The 21,011-nt window shown below is 40.8% G+C and overlaps 1 protein-coding gene across 2 annotated transcripts in view, besides 1 other annotated feature; it reads left to right on the plus strand.

Annotated features, from left to right (window-relative positions):
• The window catches only part of JADE3 (jade family PHD finger 3), a 148,942-nt gene that overhangs the window by 37,040 nt on the left and 90,891 nt on the right, over positions 1-21,011 (plus strand). The gene's annotated exons all lie outside the window — the stretch shown is intronic.
• Positions 14,299-14,478: an enhancer, noted in NCBI's record as "active region_29579". NCBI's record gives its function as "activates an Ori minimal core promoter by ATAC-STARR-seq in GM12878 lymphoblastoid cells {active_cell/tissue: GM12878}" and the evidence as "EXISTENCE:reporter gene assay evidence [ECO:0000049][PMID:35858748]".

Below are 21,011 nucleotides of genomic sequence, written 5' to 3' on the forward strand. Positions count from 1 at the left end.
TTGTGTACATTTCTGTTGTATATATAATTAGGAGTAAAGTAGCTGGGTCATAGGGTGTGCACATGTTAAGTAAGCTTCAGTAGCTATTGTAAAACAGCTTTCCGAAGATTTTATCCTAATTTACATTCTCACCAGCAGCATAAAGAGGCACTTTGCCAACAACACTTGTATTGTTGATGTTTCGAATTTTAGCCATTTTGATGAGTAGTAGTGGTGACTTCCTTATTTCTCTTTTATTGAGGCATAATTTACGTATAGTAAAATGCAGAGATTTTAAGAGTACAGTTTGAGTTTTGACAAATGTATGTACCCACATAGCCCACACCCTAATCAAGATATAAAACATTTCTATGTCCCTGAAAGTATCATTGTGTCTCTTTTCAGTCAGTCCCCTCTAAGCGGAGGTAGCTACTCCTATTCTGATTTCTGTCACCATATAGTTTTTCCTATGACTGAACTTCATGTAAATGAAATAATATAGTATATATATTCTTGTATCTGGCTTATTTTTGGTTTATTTTCCTCAATATAATGTTTCTGAGATTCATCCATGATGTAGAGGAATATTCATATCAGCTATATTTCTAATAACCAAAGACTGGAAACAACCCAAATGCCCTCCAGTAAGTAAATGGTTAAACTGTGGTGCATTCATAAAATGTAATAAAAGAAACAAACTATTCATAAGTGGATCAACTTGGGTGGCTCTCAAAAGCATTATGCTGAATGAAAAATAGCCTATCTCAAAAGTTTACATACTGTATAGTTTCACTTATGTAAAATTATTAAAATGACAACTTTATTGAAGTATAATTTATATACCACAAAATTCACCTGCATAAGTATATAATTCAATGCCTTTTAATGAATTTACTAAGTTGTGCAACCATCTCCATAACTCAGTTTTAGAATATTTCCATCACGCTAATAAAATCCCTTGTACTCATTTGCAGTCACTCCACTCTTCTCCCCTCAGCCCTAAGCAACTACTAATCTACTTTCTGCCATTGTAGATGTGGACATTTCATATAAATAGAAGCGTATAACATATGGTCTTGTGTGTCCAGATTCTTTCACGTAGTATAATGTTTTGGGGGTTTATCTGTGGTGGTACAACATATCAATAATTCATTCCTTTTTGTTGCTGAATAATATTCCATCATGTGGATGTACCACATCGTGGTTATTCCTTTGCTAGCAGATGGGTATTTGGGATAGTTCCAGCTTTTGGTTCTCATGAACAGTGCTGCAGTGAGCATTCATGTACATATCCTTGTGTAGACATAAGTTTTCATTTCTCTTGGGTAGAATTTTAGGAGTAGAATTGCTGGGCTGTATGTTAAATTTATATTTAATTTTTTAAAGAAACTGCCAGTTTTCCAAGGTGGCTGAACCCTTTTATAGTCCTACCAATAATTCCTGGGAAATATAGCTTGTGTACTTGAAAAGCATGTATATTTTGCTTTTCTTGGAGTGTTTTGTAGATACCAGTTAGGTCAATTTTTAAAATAGTTCTTGTTTAGGTTTTGTATATTCTTTATTTTTTTCTAGTTCTATTTATTACCAAGAGTGGAATGTTAAACTCTGTTAGTGTCCAATTGTCTGTTTCTTCAGTTCTTTGTCTTTAGTTTTCAGCAGTTTGATCATGATGTGCCTAGGTGTAGATTCCTTTGTATTTATTCTGTTTGGTGTTCTTAGTGTCTTGGCAGTTTTAAACTTTTTTTTATTTTTATTTTTTATTTTTATTTATTTTTTTGAGACAGAGTCTCGCTCTGTTGCCCAGGCTGTAGTGCAGTGGCACAGTCTCGGCTCACTGCAACCTCCGCCTCCCGGGTTCAAGCGATTTCTGGCTAACTTTTGTGTTTTTAATAGAGACGGAGTTTCACCATGTTGGCCAGGCTGGTCTCGAACTCCTGACCTCAAGTGATCCGCCTGCCTCGGCCTCCCAAAGTGCTGGGATTACAGGCATGAGCCACCGCACCCAGCCTGTAATCCCAGCACTTTGGGAGGCCGAGGCAGGCAGATCACTTGAGGTCAGGAGTTCGAGACCAGCCTGGCCAACATGGTGAAACCCCGTCTCTACTAAAAATACAAAAATTAGCCAGGCATGGTGGCATGCGCCTGTAGTCCCAGCTACTTGGGAGGCTGAGGCAGGAGAATTGCTTGAACCCGGGAGGTGGAGGTTGCGGTGAGCGGAGATTGCACCACTGCACTCCAGCCTGGCAACAGAGTGAGACTCCGTCTCAAAAAAAAAAAAAAATTATCATCACACTCTTTTTCGTCTCTGTGTTAGATTCTAGTTATACAAATGTTAGATGTTAGATCCTTTATTGTTATCCCACAGGTCCCTGAGGCTTTGTTATTTTTTTTTTCCAATCTTTTTTTCGTTTAGATTGGCCAGTTTATCTGTCTTCAGGTTGCCTGCCTCCTCCATTCTGCTGTTGTGTTCTTCCAGTTAATTTTTATTTCGGTTGTTTTTTCAGTTCTAGAGTTTCCATTTGGTTATCATTATATCTTCTTTTTACTGATATTTTCTATTTTAACATTCTTTCAAGAGTGTTCAGGTTTGGTGATTGCCTGTTTGAGTGTGTGGTGGTGGTTGTTTTAGAAGCAAGATCTTGTTCTATTGCCCAGGCTGGACTCAAACTCCTGGGCTCAAGTGATCTGCCCACCTCAGCCTCCTGGGTAGCTGAAACTATAGGTGCAGACCACCATGCATGGCAATCTGAGCATTTTTAGAGTTGCTGCTTTAAAGTCCTTGTTAGATAATTTCAACATTTGTGTCATCTCATTGTTGGCATCTGTTGTCTTTTCTCATGTGAGCTGGCATTTTCATGGTTCTTTGTATATCGCATAATTTTGGATTTTATCCTGGATGTTTTGGATATTATGTTATGAGACTCTGGATCTTGTTTCAACCCCATGGAGAATGTCAATGTATTTGTTTCAGCAGCAGTTGGTCTGGTTAGGTTCAGACTGCAAGTTCCATCTCACTTTCTGTGGGGTGTAGTTCAAATATCAGTTCAGTATTCAATGGCTTTGCAGTGCTGTTCACCTCTGTCGTGTGTGTGCCACCCACCTGTCAGTCAGGGACCTAAGTGTGTGTTAACTCATTTCTCCAAGTCTTTGATATGCTAATTAGAATCAGATCCACCTGTGAGGAAGTGGAGGCCTTCCCAGGAGTTTGTAAGCAACTTTTTGTGAGTTTGTTTTCCTGAGCTCTTCCTTCGTTGTTATTTCTCTGGTACTTTCTACTTTTCCAGGGCTTTCCTTTTTAGTCCTCCAGTGAGAAACTACACACTTTCACAATACACTGCCTCTAGGGCACAAGGGGCAGGCAAACAGAGAGAAAAAAAGTAAGAAAAATCAATGGGAGGCCAGGTGCGGTGGCTCACGCCTGTAATCCCAGCACTTTGGGAGGCCGAGGCGTATGGATCACGTGAGGTCAGGAGTTTGAGACCAGCCTGGCCAACATGGTGAAACCCCATCTCTACTGAAAATATAAAATTTAGCCGGGCATGGTGGTGTGTGCCTGTAATCCCAGCTACTCAGGAGGCTGAGGCAGGAGAATCTCTTGAGCCCAGGAGGCAGAGGTGGCAGTGAGCCAATATCGCTGCAGTCCAGCCTGGGTGACAGAGCGAGACTGTCTCAAAAAAAAAAAAAGCAATGGGATTTGGCTTTGCCCTTTTGGAGCCATAGTTCCACCAAATGGACAGAAGTTTCTTCTCTCTCTTTCAGAGTTTTAGCTCGTACAGTCTCCCTATGCCAGTTACTTTTTGTTGCTGCTGCCACAGCCTCTACCATGGGATTTTCTAGACATTAGAAAGGGGAGAAAAAGGAGAGAAAAACCCAGGGGATTCCCCCCCCACCGCCCCCCACCGCCACCTCACCACTCCAGTTTCTCTGAGCATTAGTAGTTCCCTTTTCCAAAAAAGCACCTTGAACCAGAACATGTGCTCTAACCACAGTGCTCACTTTCAGATTTCATTGTGTTGAATTCAGGCCAGTGAATACTGGAAGAAAAAAAGTGGTTAAGTCACTGCCAGTTCAGTTGTACTCCGCATTCTGGCATTCTTTCTTGATCGCCTGCTGTTATATACTTTTAAGAGTTCTCTAATAGTTGCCCATATTTTCTTTACAGATTTTATAGTTGCATTTGGTCAACAGAAAGGTTACGTGTGTGTTTATACCATCTTACTTGGAACCGGAAGTCTTCACTGATATTTTAATGGATGTTTTGGGTTGCTTTCCCTCCCCCTTAAAGTATTTATATCTCTGAAATAATAGTTTCAGATATGTAGTGTTTGGTGCAGTTAGGTGGACAAAAGTTGCTAAGAGTAAGCAGATTAGCTGCACTATTGGCTGAATACATAATGACCCCCTGAAAAACAGAACCACTTCTCTAAAGGCATATGTGGTAATCTCATCTGGAAGCACAGTTCTTTGTCTTTGTGTAGCATATCATTGACCTCGTTGTTTTCCTTGGCCCTGCCTCTCTGTCGTAGTCTCTTGCTTCTGTCCTGCTGTTTTCCAGTAACCTTTGCCCTGCAGAACTTCATTCCTCAACCCCTTTCTCCTCCTCCCTCTCCTGTTTGTCTCTGGCTTTCCCCACACTCTGTCCTTCCTAACATTACAGTCTTGCATTTTATCACCAAATTCTATCTCCCAAGGATAAATGCACTGCTTTGTGACATTTTAGGATGTTAAGTGCTTGCATTTGAAGGATGGAGAAACCTGGAGGGGGGTGGGAATCAGGTTTTGCTCATAGATTAGGGCCCCAACTGTGTCTCTGCAAGGCATTGTGGTGGTCTAGGCAGCTGCTTTTCCAGCATATTGGGGCTTTCTGCCTCACATGGTATTTCTGGTGGGTAACAGAGACCAGGACACATGAAACTCCAGCACAGTCAGGAATGTGGGTCTAGAAAGAAGGTATATTTAAGCCATACTAACCTCATTAACTTGGGAATATTTAAGAGCTTTGTGGGCTGTTTTTTGGTTTTGTTTGGTTTGGTTTTAGTTTTGAAAGTTAATAGAAGAAACTACTAAATAACAGTCACTTTTATGAAAGTATTTCCTATTGTTAGTTATGTGGTACAGAATCACTGAAGGAAGGAAATCCTAAACGAGCAAAAACACATGGGCAGAGCACATGTTTTTATGTTGCAGCATGCTTTCAGTATTTTTGTGGTAGAAATATGCATTCTTTATTTTTTATTTTTATTTTTATTTTTTGAGATGGAGTCTCACTTTGTTGCCCAGGCTGGAGTGCAGTGGTGCGATCTCGGCTCGCTGCAGCCTCTGCCTCCCGGGTTCAAGCTATTCTCCTACCTCAGCCTCCTGAGTAGCTGGGATTACAGGCATGCACCACCACACCCAGCTAATTTTTATATTTTTAATAGAGACAAAGTTTCGCCATGTTGGCCAGGCTGGTCTCAAACTCCTGACCTCAAGTGATCTGCCCACCTTGGCCTCCCAAAGTGCTAGGATTATAGGTGTGAGCCACCGCACCCAGCCAGAAATATGCATTCTTTAAAAGCCACAGTGGGCTTCCCAGGTGTCTGTTGAGATCTGTCAGGTTCCAGGCATGCAAAGGCTGCTCAACTTATAACCTTCTAGGCATATATTAACTGTGTACAGCAAAGAACCTTACTGGTTTAAAAGGTATGGTACCTTTTTGAAAGAAAATCCTCAGCTATAACATGTTGTCTCATTTACTCCTATTGAAATCCCTTATCTTCTTGGCTGGGAGCAGGGTAGCAGCAGAGAGCTGCTTGAGTTTTTACCTCACTATCTTTATGCCAGACTGGCCCTCCTCATAGAAGTGATACTTGTTTTCCATTGCTAAGACTTTTATTTTTTCTTTTGACAGCAGCCAAAGCAACTAGTTTAAAAGAAAACACATTCATTATTCTTACTCTTCCATTTTATAAAGGAATGTTTATTTCAGTGGGATGTTTCTGTGGAGATCTCTTTAGCTGTGGGAGCAATTTGCCTTTGGTACTGGGAGAACAAATAACAAGTCACAGAAACAGTAATTAAACAGGCAATAGTTCTCCAAATAATACTGATTTAATTATGTGCATAAGGTTGATCGGGGTGTGAGAATTAAAGCTAGCTTTATTCAAGGCCAGTATAATTCTTGTGACTCTCTTGCCTATAATAACTATTAGTCCCAATTAAGTGATTTATTCCTTATTGATTGTGAAATATTCCCAGGTAACACAATTCAGATTTGTATTGTGTTCAGACTGTTGCATTATCTTTTGAAGTTTTCCTTGGGATAACTGTGGTGCATTTCCCAGAGCCTGTGAACTAGAATTTAGAAACTGAGAGGTTCCAGTCCAAGGTTGATGGAACGTGAGAATTGTAGGGAACTTGGAGATTACCAAATCCAAATTCCTTCCCAGTGCAGGAATCCTTGCCACAGTATTTGTCAGACAGGTGGTTGTCTGACTCTTGACAACATTATTTTTTACCCCAAAGAATACATATTTTTCCTCCATACAGTTTTGAGGCTACTAAAAAAAATAAGACCAAAAACCTTAACAGATTGGTGGTTCTTTATTCCCAAGCCAAAATCTGCCTTTCAGGAACTGTCAGTATCATTCCTGGCTCTCCTCTCCATAGTCACACACAGCAAATCTCTTTTGTCCAAAATATTTAAAGCTATCTATTTTCCTACTTCCCATTCCCCTTTCTCCCACCCGTGGCCTTTTTTTGTGTGTTTTGTTTTGTTTTGTTTGAGACAGAGTCTCGCTCTGTTGCCCAGGCTGGAGTGTAGTGGTGCCATCTTGGCTCACTGAAACCTCTGCCTCCCGGGTTCAAGTGATTCTCCTGCCTCAGCCTCCCAAGTAGCTGGGATTAGAGGCACACACCACCACACCTGGCTAATTTTTGTATTTTTAGTAGACAAGGGGTTTCACCATGTTGGCCAGGCTGGCCTTGAACTCGTGACCTCAAGTGATCCACCTGCCTCGGCCTCCCAAAGTGCTGGGATTACAGGCTGAGCCACCGCGCTTGGCCCCCGTGGCCTTTTAAGCTAAAACATTTCTGATTCATGTAACAACTTATTTCAAGGATTTTAATATAATGGAAAAATTCAAAGAATAATATGATAAATACTCATATTCTCTACCAGCCAGAATTATCAACAATTAAGATTTTGTAATATCTTTTTTTCTTTTTTTCTTGCTTGTTTATTTTAGAGACAGGGTTTCACTCTGTCAGCCAGGCTGGAGTGCGGTCGCGCAATCATGGCTCAGTGCAGCCTCGAACTCCTGGGCTCAAGCGATCCTCCCACCTCAGACTCCCAAGTAGCTGGTACTGCAGGTGTGCATCACTATGCCCAGCTACTTTCTTCCTTCCCTTCCTTTCCTTTCTTTCTTTCCTTCCTTCCTTTTTTCTTTTTTTTCTTTCTTTTCTTTCCTTTTCCTTTTCCCCTTTGTTTTCTCCCCTTCCCCTTCCCCTCCCCTCCCCTTTCCTTTCTTTTTTCTTTTCTTTTCTTTCTCAGGGTCTCTGTTGCCCAGGCTGGAGTGCAGTGGCATGATCTCGGCTCACTGAAACCTCTGCCTCCCGGGCTCCAGTGAGCCTCCCACCTCAGCCTCCTGAGTAGCTGGGACCACAGATGTGCACCACCACTTCCAGCTAATTTTTTTTTAATTTTTGGTAGAAATGAGGTTTCTCCATGTTGCCAAGGCTGATCTCAAACTCCTGAGCTCAAGCAGTCCACCTGCCTCAGCCTCCCAAAGTGCCGGGATTATAGGCATGAGCCACCATTTTTAAATAAAGGGACTAAAACATTACAGAAATGCTTATTTCTCCTTTGGTCACCTCTTCTAATGTCATCCTCCTCCCTCCTCAGTTTCAGATAGATTAGATAGATAGATAGATAGATAGATAGATAGATAGATAGATAGATATAAACGATATATAGATTTGTTTTGGATCTATGTTTTAATTTACATAAATGGTGGTATTATGAATGTGTCTGTTTTTTCTACACAGCAAAATATCTTAGATCTTTTCATATGTTTTCTATTAATCTTTGCATAGTATGTATTATTATATGTCACATGATGTTTTTGGCTGTCTGCCATTTGGGCATGTGGTAGGATTGTAGTTCCTGTCCCTTTTGAGGTTAGGCGTGGCCCTGTGACTTGCTTTGGTCATTGAAATGTCAGTAAAAGTAATGAATGCACTTCCAAATGGAAATTTTAAGAGCTAATATGAGATTTGCCACATTCCATTCCCCTGGCCGGTAGAGATGGAGCTTCTGACAGCTTAGGTCAAGAATAACTACAATAAGCTCTCCTACCAACTCACTTTAAATATGTAGCATACGGAATAAACAGACTTTGGTTGTGTTAAGCCACTCAGATTTTAGGTTCCTTTTGTTACCTTGGCAAACTTAGTCTATCCTGATTGATTATAGACCCACTTCATTGTTTTTAACTGCTGCAAAGTATTCCAGAGTATGAATGAACCTTATTCTGTCTAGCCGTTCTATTGATGGAAACCTAACTACTTTCTGAATTTTGCTTTTATAAACAGTTCTATGTTGATCATTGTGCAAATTTGTGAGAGTTTCTCCAGATATATGTTTAGAAATAGGATTGCTGGGTCATAGGGTTTGGATATTTTCAGTTTTATAGGATTCTGTCTTTGCTTTCCCAGGCGGCTACACCATCTCTCACCCTTTCAATGGTCATTTATGTGATATGATCCCCAAACTTTTTCTAGTCTTGGTTCCCCTCTCTGGATGCACTTTCATTGGTCACCATTAATGGTACTCAGATTGGAACATGGTTGTCCAGTTGTTGTCCAACTGAGGTAGACATTATGTTTCTGAATTCAGCCCGAGTTTAGTAGCTGCATCACTAAACTGTGGTGTTTACTGACATCAAAAGCTGAAACTGCTATCATCCTGTATTTGGGAAACAATTTAATTGCAGTGACTTTACATATGTTCTAGTTAAATTTCATCCTGTTTTTGCTTATAATATTTGCTTTTGAATTCTCCTCTTTTCTTTGATGAATGTTATCCCTCTTAGGGTCAATAACCCTAAATTCATCTATGTTACTCATCAAAGTTTTGATCAAGATAGGGCCAAGGGCATAGCTCTGTGTCCCACCAGAAGACTCCTACCTTCAGGATTACCTGCCTGCAGCCTGCATTTTTTTTAATCTATCAGCAGGAAAATCCTGTCAGCTGCCTCCACGTATTACTGTACCTATAAACAATTTTCTCAATAAATGAGTGACTGGAACAGAAAAGAGCCTAAAGTAAGTTGGGTGTGTCATGTTCTTAGAGAGCCTATGCTGGCTGCTAGTGACTGTTTTCTTTTTCAAGTGCTTATCCAGCCAATGCTTTATTAATGTGGTTTAGAATCTAGTTTGAAGTGATATTCAAGCTTTTTATTTGCAATAATTATATCTACCCCCATTGAAAATAAGGGAGATTTTTGTCTCTCTGTAGCCTATTGGGAGATCTGGTTTGAGTTTCCACAAATAAAGTAGTTTTTAGGATAATGACCAGCCAGGATGCTTGTGCTCTACTTCCCAGCCAGGGCATCTTTTCTCCCTGAACAATAACCAACCCTTTTTATAATTTAAGGAACTGTAAGGACTCCCTAGGCCAGTAGCTTGGGACATCACAAGTTAGGCTTCCTGGTAGTCTTTCTCTTGTTCTTTAGGACCAACCACGTGCCTAATTCCAGTTACTATTTTTCTATAAGGATTCTTAGTTATACATCTCAGAGTCCTGACTTAAATTAGCCTAAGTAACAGAAAGAGGGTTTACTGGTAAATGAAGTCCACAGGCTGCTGACTTTAGGAATGGCAACATCCAGGCTGTTATTGCAGCCCCAAATCTCCTTTTCTCACCTGTGTGTTCCTGTGATTTAGTTTCACTCTCAGGCAGACTGTATCTGTAGCAATGCAGTGCCTCTTTCCCAATACCTCTGTCAAAACACTTGGCTGACTTGTCGACCTAGCTTAGGCCATGTGCCTTAGACACAGGAGGTGTGTAGTGTTGGGGAAGGGGAGTGAGCCCTGATTCATTCTTCATTCATATGTTTGATGAGTGCCCAGTATGTACCAGGCACCGTGTTAGGCTCTGTGGTTATCACAGTGAACAACACAGGCATAGTCTCTGCCCTCTTGAAGTGTCAATGTGTAAGGAAATGGACTTTAATGTGCCCACAGTGATAAAGGAGAAGTTACTTGGTGCTGGGAAGCAAATGACATGGGTCCCTACCTACTCTGGGGTAGGGGACAGAAGGCTATCCTGAGGAAATGTTGTTTGGATTGAAATCTGACATGACTAGGAGATAGCCATGTGAAGTAGGATAGGGTGATGATGAGCAGTCCAGAGTAGGGGGTAGGATAGTATTGGAGGTAGAAAGGAACATACTCCAGGCACTGAAAAGAATACCGGATGTTGGGACCACAGAGACTGAAGGGGCAGAGTATCACAGGTAGGACTGGAAAATTAGGTTGGCACCACCTCTGACAGAGCTGCATGCTTTGCAGGAGATTTAGAAGCCATACAAAGTTTAAAGCAGGGAATCAAAGTGATTAATAGCCCTGGTCCATATGGGTAACTCACTTTCTGAGATACAGCTTAGTCTCATTAATTTACCAAGCTCACTTACCTGGTTAGCATTTAAATCTATGGACACCACAATATCTATCATGTTCAAACTGGGCTCAGGCATTGCCTCTCCCAAGAAGCAGTCCTCATTGCCCCTTCTTTCAAGCCACTGGAAAAGGATGGGTGTTCCTCTATTCCTGTTCCCTTAGTCCCCTGCTCAGAGTACTGTCACAGTTTTGTTTACCCCATCCAGGTCTGGGCAGAATGTGTAGGTGCCCAGCCAAGCTAATGATTGGCATCTGTGCAACAAAAAAAAAAAAAATGTTATCATAGCAGACCTGACTTTGAAAAGGCCTGCTTACAAGGTTGACTCTGGGCTGGCGAATAAGAACTTTATTTTGGGGATGGTTCTTGACCTTCCCAGAACGGATAAGGGTGGCTCATTGTGCCGGAATTGTTTATACAAGTAATATGGTTTATGCTGAATACCTGCTTTATTTCTTGAAGTCTAAAATTTTGGTCTGTACCAGTCAGAGGGTGCCTATGTGACCAGTCACCAATAAAAACCCTGGGGCAGAGTCTCTAGTGGGCTTCCCTAGTAGACAACATTTCACATGTATCATCACAACTTGTTGCTAGGGAAATTGTGTTCTGTGTATGCACTAGGAGAGGACTCTTAGAAGCTTGTGCCTTGTCTCCCCTGCACTGCATCCCATGAGCCTTTTCCCTTTGCTAATTTTGCTTTGTATCCTTACAGTGTAATAAATCATAGCCATGAGTATGATTATATGCCGAATCCTGTGAGTCTTCCTTGTGAATCACTGAACCTAGGGGTGATCTTGGGAACCCCTTACACAGCACCCTTGCAAAAACCATTATTTGTTCAATGCATATTTAAAGGAGAGAGTGAGCCTGGTAAGGAACCAGGTCAGAGAGAGAGGTTCTCTGATGGTGGCAGTGACTCTCCTGTTGAGCAGTCAGATTTCACCCTAAACTCGCACTCTCCACTCTACTAAACCGCAGTTCTGCAGGGGCCTAAAAGGGAGTCTGTGAGCACTGGGAAGCAACAGAAGGGTTTTACATCAAGTATCATAATCAGGTTTGCATTTTGGAAAGAATAAATGCCCCAGAAGCAGGAAAATTTGTGAGGGGAGTTTGCTTTATCAAATTAAAACTTACTACAAAGCCATTATAATAAAAATAATATGATAATGGACTAGAAATTGGTGTTATCCACATTTTCCAAATTCCAGCCTAAGTTCCTTCATCAGATCTTTATTGAGTTCTTTGATGGGCCCTGTGAGAGTGAACATGTGAGACTTAGTTCCTCCTTGGCTGTACTTCTGAGACAGATCATGCAAAAACAAGCATCATTTATACTGTCTACAACGGAACGCTCTGAACTTGTTTTTAGGTGGTTGTGATGCTATCAGTTGTCAAAGTAGTTATGTGGGGTTCTGAATTCAGAACTTGATAAAAACAGTAAATGAACAAAGGACTTTTTACCAGTCTCCTGTGAATTGCTGATATTTCAAATCGTTGCATATTAATAGCTTAGGGGTAGTTTTAATTTTTATAGTTTTTCAGCTGGTAAAAATGAAATATTTCTGTTTCCACAGTCTGCCACCATTGTTTTGTCTTCCTTTGTGTGTCAGGAGTGGTGTTTCCTAAGGGAAAACTTAATTAGACTGTGCAATAATTTTCTTTGGGAAATAGAGAAAGCTGGTTATGTAAAATACACTGGACGAAAGATCTTATAAAAAACCTTTGAAGGAGGGAAACATCCTGTACTGAGGGAACTGAGGTGGGATGATGGAGTTTTGGTGTCCCTGTTTTGCATTTCTAACAGTAAGCTTGAAAGCACAGGATCTTCTGACCATTGAAGCTGAAATTATGTATGCAGTGTTTCTCATGAAATAACATTTACCATAAAAAAGACTGCGTTTATACTTGGGTAATTCTAAAAATTTCTAGGCAGAAAATTCTAAAACCGTTAATGCAAAAAATTCACAAGCTCAAGACCCACACGAGCACACAAAAGCATTACATTGATTACATGTTTGTATATTGGCCAATCCCTGAAATGGTGTCTCAGAAGGATTAAAATTGAGCCTCTGTTCTGAGCATGTGGCTTCGGCTGTGGCCTGGGAGAGTGCCAGTTATTCGAAGCACCTGCGCCTCCTCACAGGGTCTTGTTGTGGCTGCCCAGGAAGATGGAGGAAAACTGCCTCACCACTCTAGTCACATATGCAGGGGTAGGAATCCTGCCTCTTAGGCTTCTCCTGCTCTGACTGACAAGAGACCCAGAGATGATAGTCTAGCCATCTGGTTGCAACTCTGGGGCAGAAAAAGCAGAAACTAGAATAAAATCAAATATATCCTCCCCCCACTGACACCAAGCACACACTGATAGTAATAATCAGAATACTTTTTTGTCAACAACCTCCTCTTGTGTTAAACAACATTCTGGAATCCTGGTTCGCCGTGTACAAATGGCACATGAAAAGAGGGTGCTCAGATCTGATCTAGAAATTTGAGATGTAGGTAGAGAGACCTAATACTCCACTGGGGACCCACAGGCTAATTACCTTAAGTCTGGTAAGTGGAATACAACTCCTAAAGGAAACTAGGTGTTTTGAATTGAGAAAAAAAAATGTATTTATAAGCGAGGCTTTATGTATTTCTTAATATATGTCCTTAAAAGTTCATAGGAATTAAACTTCTCTAGAATATGTGAGGGCTTTGGAGACTAAGAGAAGCAAAGGAAGGAAGCTTTTATTTTTTGCTTATTTTTGTTCATGAGCCAAATCCTGCAGTATTAGATTGAACCCTATGAAATTGCTGATATGCAAACATTTTGACTTGCAACAATGGCAGTTTCATATGGTTCAACCTAATATAAACTAATTTTTTTTTTTTTTTTTGGAGAAAGAGTCTTGCCCTGTCTCCCAGGCTGAAGTGCACTGGCTCAGTCTCCGCTCACTGCAACCTCTGCCTCCCAGGTTCAAACGATTCTCCTGCCTAAGCCTCCCAAGTAGCTGGGATTATGCGTGCCTGCCGCCACGCCCAGCTAATTTTTGTATTGTTAGTAGAGACGGGGTTTCACCATGTTGGCCAGGCTGGTCTCGAACTCCTGACCTTGTGGTCCACCCGCCTCGGCCTCCCAAAGTGCTGGGATTATAGGGGTGCTCTGATGTGTTACTCTGACATTCCAGTTAAATAGTTAACCACTGGTTGCAGGTGCCACGCTTATCTCTGGACAGGGGAGGTACCTTATGGCTGCCTTGGCATCAGACAGGATTAGAAACTTCCAGATAGAGTGACATTTGCTACTCGTATGGCTGCTGTTATGTACTTCTTTTGGGTCAAGTGCTTGACCCATCTGTGATCTTGGCATTAGCTACAGTGCCTTCCTCTGTGGATCCCAGCAGTAATGCCTACTTTGGAAAATTAGTACCCAAAGTGATTTAGTGTAGTACGACTGAGGTTTGTGATGAAATTTCCACTCTACAGTTAATCATTAAAAGCTGTGTTTCAAATTCTGTCAGTTAACTATTGCTGTATAACGACCACTTCAAAAGTTAGTGGCTTAAAATAGTAATTACTTAGTTCATTCTATGGGTCAGTCATTTGGGCTGGGTTCAGCTGAGCAGTTCTGCTGTTCTCAGCTGGTCTCCCCTTATGCCTATGGTCAACTACAGGTCAGCAGGGAGCTCTGCTTTTGAAGTCCAACGGCTGTCAACTGGGGCAGTGGTAGGAGGTAGGAGCACAGAGCTATGCATCTCTCATCCTGCAGCAGGCTAGCCCAGACTTGTTCTCATGGTAGTTGGTCAGGTTTCTAAGAGTGAATAGAAGCAGCAAGGCCTCTTGAGGCCTAGGCTCTGAACTGGCACACCATCACCTCATACTGTACTCGATTGCCCTAAGCAAGCCACAAAGCCAGTCCAGATTCAAGGAGCATCCATAAGGAAAGGGCATGGATAAAGAATTGGGGCCATTTTTGCTATCTATCACACAGATACAAATTACTCTTTTTTAAGGCACCAGTCTACTCCTATAACACTTAAAAACACATGTGTTCTATGTGTTTGGAATTAAAGACTGACCAGAAGCAAATAGGAAAGTATTAAAATTGTTCACATGTCATGACCCTGATGATGGTCCTCTTGTGAAGCTAAATTGTTTTGAAGCTTGGATGCTCTGAGACCTGGATGTGTATCACATTTTAAATCAGTCATTAATCCTGGATCCTTGCAATAAAATGATGTGAAACCCATAAATGAAGGTTTAAAACACAGCTGCAAATTTTTTTATTCTCTTCTCCTCGGGAGGTAGGATCTGTGCCTCCTTCCACTTAAATCTGGGTGAGCTTGTGACTACTTCAATACAATAGAGTATGAGACTTCTGAGGCTAAATCATAAAAGGCAATCTGCCTTGTTCATTGGAACACTCATACTAGGACTCCTGAGCTGCCATGTAAGAAGTTTGACTATTGAGAAGCCACCTATGCCAGAGAGGCCTTAGATAGGCACTCTGGAGGTAGTCTCTGCTAAGCCCAGCCATCCCAGTCAAAGATGCCAGATGAGTGAAGACGTCTCCAGATGATCCAGCTGTTTGAATCTTCCCAACTGAGGTCCCATACATTGTGGAGTAGAAAAAAGTCATCACTGCTGTGCCTATCTGAATTCCTGACCCACAAAATTCATGAAGTGATAAAGTGGTGGTGGTTTTATGCCACTAAATTTTGCAGTTGTTTGTTGCACAACAGTCAGTAACTGGAACAGCATAAGTGAATGGTCATGGGTGTGTTCCAATAAAAGTTTATGGACACTGAAATATGAATTTCACATAATTTTTATATGTCACAAAATATTTTTTAAATTGTTTTCAACCATTTAAAAATGTAAAAACCATTCTTAGCCTCCAGGCCATACTAAAAATAAGCAGTATGCTAGATTTGGCCCATGGGCTGTAGTTTGCTGACCCCGATCTAAAAGGTTGTGTAATAGTCATAAAATTTAAACTTGAGGGCTTCTCGTCAAGATGGCTCTGATTTCATACTTTAAATTCATATCTCCTTTCTTTAAAAGTGATAATAAAGTAAAAAATTAGACATATCTGTGGTCAAGAAAGTATAAATCTCTGGACCAGAAACAGATCAGACAATAAGTGAGGATTATTAGTTACAGGCCTATAGTTATGGACATTCTGGACTCTTAGGTCCAGAAAAAGGTAGAGATGGCTGGGAATTGTATTTCTGTAGATAATGGGATTAAAACATTCAGTGAATGGAGGAAATGATCCCTGACTGTGAAGTCAGAGATTGCCCATGAACAGAGACAGTAAAAAGATGTTGCTTCTGTTCAGAGTGGCAGGCAGGAGAGCAGAGAGAGACTTAGGACCAGGGACAAATGTATTATTGGCTCACTGTCTAAATCTGGAAGATTTTCAAAGAGATAAAGGAAGAATAACATCCATTACAAAATTTTTAAAGTCCAGTCCATACCTGGTAGGAACTCATTCTCGGAGATTTGATAATATTAGTGGTTAAAAATACTTTAAGTTAGTGATGGTACTATACACAGGCCACTCTGAGAGCATACTGCTGTTGATTGTCAAAGTGTGGGTGAGTCATAGTAGGGGAGGCATCCTAGAAGAGATTTGCTGTGCCTTATAAGGATAAGGCTCCTGTTTGCTGAGCCTTATAAGAATTAGTTTATATGTTTTAAAAGTGAGGAAGCAAGAAGAGGGTCCTCCTGGGAGAAGGGATGGTATAAAGCCTAGAGGTAGGAACTGCAGAGGTTCAGCATTGTTTGAGCATAAAACTGGGGCAGAATGTGGTGAGGGATAAAGCTGCAGAAGTAGACATGGCTTGATTGTGGAGGGCTGTGTTGGCCTTGATGAGGACCTTAATAAAGATCCTAGGAGCAAAGGACAGCCATTGAAATCTCTTGACCGTGGAGGCACATGATCCAATTTGTGTTTTAGATAGGTCTCTGGCAGTTGGGTGGAGGGTAAATTTGGGGACAACAAGATTAGGACTTTTAAAGCCAGTTAGGAAACTGCTCTTGCATTCTAGGTTTGAGGAAATAGATAGGTCCTAAACTAAGAAAATGACAGCTGAGATGGGAAAGGAACATTGATTTGGAAGATTATTTTAGAGGTTAACTGACAGGGCTTAATAATTGATTGGATGTTCCAGGGTAAGATATAGGAAAGAGTTCAGAGATTTTTCTAGATTTTGTGATGGCATAGAGGAAGGTGCCAACTGAGACCAGTTAGAAGGTAGGAAGAACTAGTGGAAAACAGAACATAGTTTCCTCAGTGTTGATCGTCTTCCAGCTTGATGTATCTGGTTGTCAGGACTTTTTTCTTTTTGTTGATGTATCTTTCCTATTCTTTCTTCCTTCCTTCTTTGCTTTGCTTTTCCCTCCTACCTTCCTGTCTCTTTCGCCTTTCCTTTCTATCTCCAGCTCTGGACCAGAGGACCTTGTTTTGGGAGCCATAAGCATGTGGGTAGGGCACTTCAGGGAACCACCATCACCTACAAGATGGTTAGAGGAAGAAAAAAAGTGTTAGCAACACAGGGAACTTGAAAAAAGCTTCTGGAAGCCAAAGGAGTAGTTTCAAGAAGGCCAGAGTGATCAGCGTGTCAAATGCAGCATACAGATACTTAAAGATGAGGGTTGGGAAGTATGCACATTTTTCCAAGAATTCTGGTGAGATAGAAGCAATTAAGGAGAGATTGAGAGTAAGGAAGGAGTTACAGACTGTAAACTACTTTTTGAGGAGTTTGCAAGAGAAGGCAAAGAAAGAAAGAAAGTGGATATTAGCTAGAGAAAAATGAAGTAGGGTCAAGAGATGGTTTGGGAATAAAGGTAGAGAGGTTGGAACCTGTTAACAGAAAGAAATCCAGCATAAAGGCAGAATTTGGAAGTTAAAAGGCAGATTTTTTCTGTTCATAGAAAATCATCCATATGTTTAGAGCTGTCTAGACATTAGAATAAATTGCTTGTTAGATAGTGAGCTCCTGGTCACTGGAGTAGTCAAGCAGAGCTTAGCTGTTTTCTGGTCAACTGTGTAGAAAGATACATTGGTGAGTGCCTTCAGGAGTTTTAGCCTGTGTTCAATTCCTAACAGTTTTCCCAAAGTTGCTTTAAGCATTATAAGTTAATGAGTTATTCTGTGGATCTGCCTTGCCTGGCAGCTCTCTAGAGATTTGTGGAATCACTAGACCAAGTTAATTTATTTGCCTTTGATCTTGAAGGATGAAATTAAACTGCAGATTTTCAGATAACAAAATATTGAGGCTTAGGGTCCAGGAAAGTTTCATCACATTGAACAATCAATCATGCTGTAGGCTCACAGGTATTTTTTTGACAAGATGGTCACTTTCCACACACAGCAACAAAGAGTCTTTGTTTCAAAATTTTGAGTTTAATTTTTTATCTGTCCATTTTTGTAAAATGGCGTTAACTCAGAATAATTAAAATAGGGCTAAGATAATAGGAGAAATGAATAGAAAGGAAAAACCTGCTTTCTTCTGTGTTTCATATTCCTATCTGGATGTTTTTGGTTTTCTAGGGCCAAGGGGAGGTAATTAGGTTCCATCCATGACTTAGATCTTTTAGTGATCTCTTTCGTTAACATTTAAAACAATTCAGGGGTAACTTGTTGTTTTGTCTCAAATGACTCAGGTACTGTTTCCAAATCTGGCTTCCTGGGGCGGCTACTGGAGCATGAACAGCAAAAATGACTGAACTCAACTAATTCTCAGAAAGCCATATTTTAGTCAGTACTTTCCAGCTTTCTCACTCATCATTGCTTTTACAGAACTAACAAGTGTTGTAACTAACTGATTAGCCTTTTATTTCTTCTCGAGTTACACATTTTAAATTCTGTTAACCTTTCAGAATGCTAATAAGTAGTGAAATGACTAAAATCCAGGCAGGGAGACTAGAAAATGCAAGGACTGAGAAAACAGCTCCCCGCTCCCAAGGCAAAACCAGGAATACCAGGTGTGGTGAATATTTATCTTTTGAGGAAAAATAGATATACTTCCTTGTTACAAAGTGACTTGCTTTCTTCTGGGCCCACAGATAGGGGGTCAGCCTCCCAATTATCCCCAGGCTTGTAAGTTTTACCCGTTTCTTAGCCTGTTTGTTTCCTCACTCTGGAAGAGTACAGTAAGTGAAAATCTCACAAAATGATAGGTTGATTCTTTCTCTTTCTCAAATTAATACTTTCCAGATATGTAGGAACATTAATAAACTGCTCTTTTTATCATATACTTGCTTTTTTAATAGTTAATTTTTAAATTTTGAGTTAATTTTTTATTTTGAGTTAAGAGATTTTGAGATAATAAATTTAGACAGGAGTTGCAAAAATAGTGCAGAGAGCAAACTTCCCATTCCAGACAGGATGGAGTAGACACATTTCAGTCTATTCCAATTCAAAGTAATGATACAGTGAGTTTAAAGGTAAATGGAAAATTAACCAGGCACAGTAGTGCACACCTGTAGTCCTAGCTACCTGGGAGGCTGAGGCAGGAGGATTGCTTGAGCCCAGGAATTGGAGGTTATGGTGAGCTACGATTGTGCCACTGCACTCCAGCCTGTGTGACAGAGCAAGACCGTATCTCAAAATAAAAAGTAAATGGATGGAAAAAAAATATCATGCAAACACCAATCAAAAGAAAACTGGAGTGGCTATACTAATATCAGATAATTAGATATCACAGCAAAGAAAATTACCAGGGACTAAAAGAATGATACAAAGGGTCGATCCACCAAGAAGGCATAGCAATTTTAAATGTGTATGCACCACATAACAGAGCTTCAAAGAACACAAAGCAAAACCCAACAGACCTGAATTGAGAAATAGACAAACCCAAACCCACAATTATGCTTGAGAATGTTAATACCCCTCTTTCAGTAATTGATAGAACCAGTAGACAGAAAATCAGCAAAGATATAGAAGAAATAACACCACCAGTCAACCAGATTTAATTGACATTTATAGAATGCTTCACCCAACAACAGCATAATATACTTACTTTTCAAGTGCACAAGCAACATTCACCAAGGTTGACTACATCCCAGGTCATAAAACAAACCTCAACAAATGGAAAAGAAGTGAAATCATATAGAGTATATTCTCAGACCATAATAGAATCAAAGTAGAAATCAAAAACAGAAAGACGGCTGGGTGTGGTGGCTCACGCCTCTAATCCTAGCACTTTGGGAGGCCAAGGCGGACAGATCACTTAAGGTCAGGAGTTCGAGACCAGCCTGGCCAACATGGTGAAATCCCCTCTCTACTAAAAATACAAAAATCAGCCGGGCGTGGTGGCACATGCCTGTAATCCCAGCTGCTCAGGAGGCTGAGGCACGAGAATTGCTTTAACCCAGGAGGCGGAGGTTGCAGTGAGCTGAGATCGTGCCACTGCACTCCAGCCTGGGCAACAGAGTGAGACTCTGTCTCAAAAAAGGAAAAAAACAAAACAAAACAGAAAGACTACAAGAAGTTCTCCAAACACTTGGAAACTAAGCGTCACACTTCTCATCAGTACAGTGGCTTGAATGCCTGAATGTAGATGAAAATATACCATATCAAAACTCGTGGCAGGGCGCAGTGGCTCACGCCTGTAATCCCAGCACTTTGGGAGGCCAAGGCGGACAGATCACCTGAGGTCAGGAGTTCAAGACCAGCCTGGCCAACATGGCGAAACCCTGTCTCTACTTAAAATACAAAAATTAGGTGAGTGTGGTGGCAGGCACCCAGCTACTCAGGAGGCTGAGGCACAAGAATTGCTCGAACCCGGGAGGCAGAGGTTGCAGTGAGCCAAGATCGCTCCACTGCACTCCAGCCTGGGTGACAAGAGCGAAACTCCATCTCAAAAAGAAAAACTTGTGGGGCGTAACTTAAATGAGTGCTAAGAAGGAAATTTAGAGCACTGAATGCTTATATGAGGAAAAGATGAAAGGCCTCAAATGAATAATCTAAGCTCCCACTTTAACTAGAAAAAGAAGAGCAAGATAAACCCAAAGTAAGTGAAGGAAGGAAATAATAAAAGAACAAAAGTCAATGTAATCAAAAACAGAAAAACAGAAAAAGCAATCCATCTAAAAACTGGTTCTTCCAAAAGAGAGATTCTGACTTAATTGGTAATGGGTGCAATTTGGACATTGGGATTTTTGTAAGTTCTCCATATGATTCCCATGTGTAATGGGGGTTGAGAACCTCTGCTGGGGAGGCCAAATACATTTTTTTGGGATTTAACATGTATTGGCATTTATCTACCAGACCCTTTGATTTCTCCCCAGGGAAATTTGTTGCCATTTCATTTTCCCTCATTTTTTGTTGCCTTCAAAGTCAGTACTGACTTGTATGTTAACTTCCATGTCTGACTGCTCCTTT

Source organism: Homo sapiens, chromosome X (assembly GCF_000001405.40).
Source record: "Homo sapiens chromosome X, GRCh38.p14 Primary Assembly".
Lineage (NCBI taxonomy): Eukaryota > Metazoa > Chordata > Mammalia > Primates > Hominidae > Homo > Homo sapiens.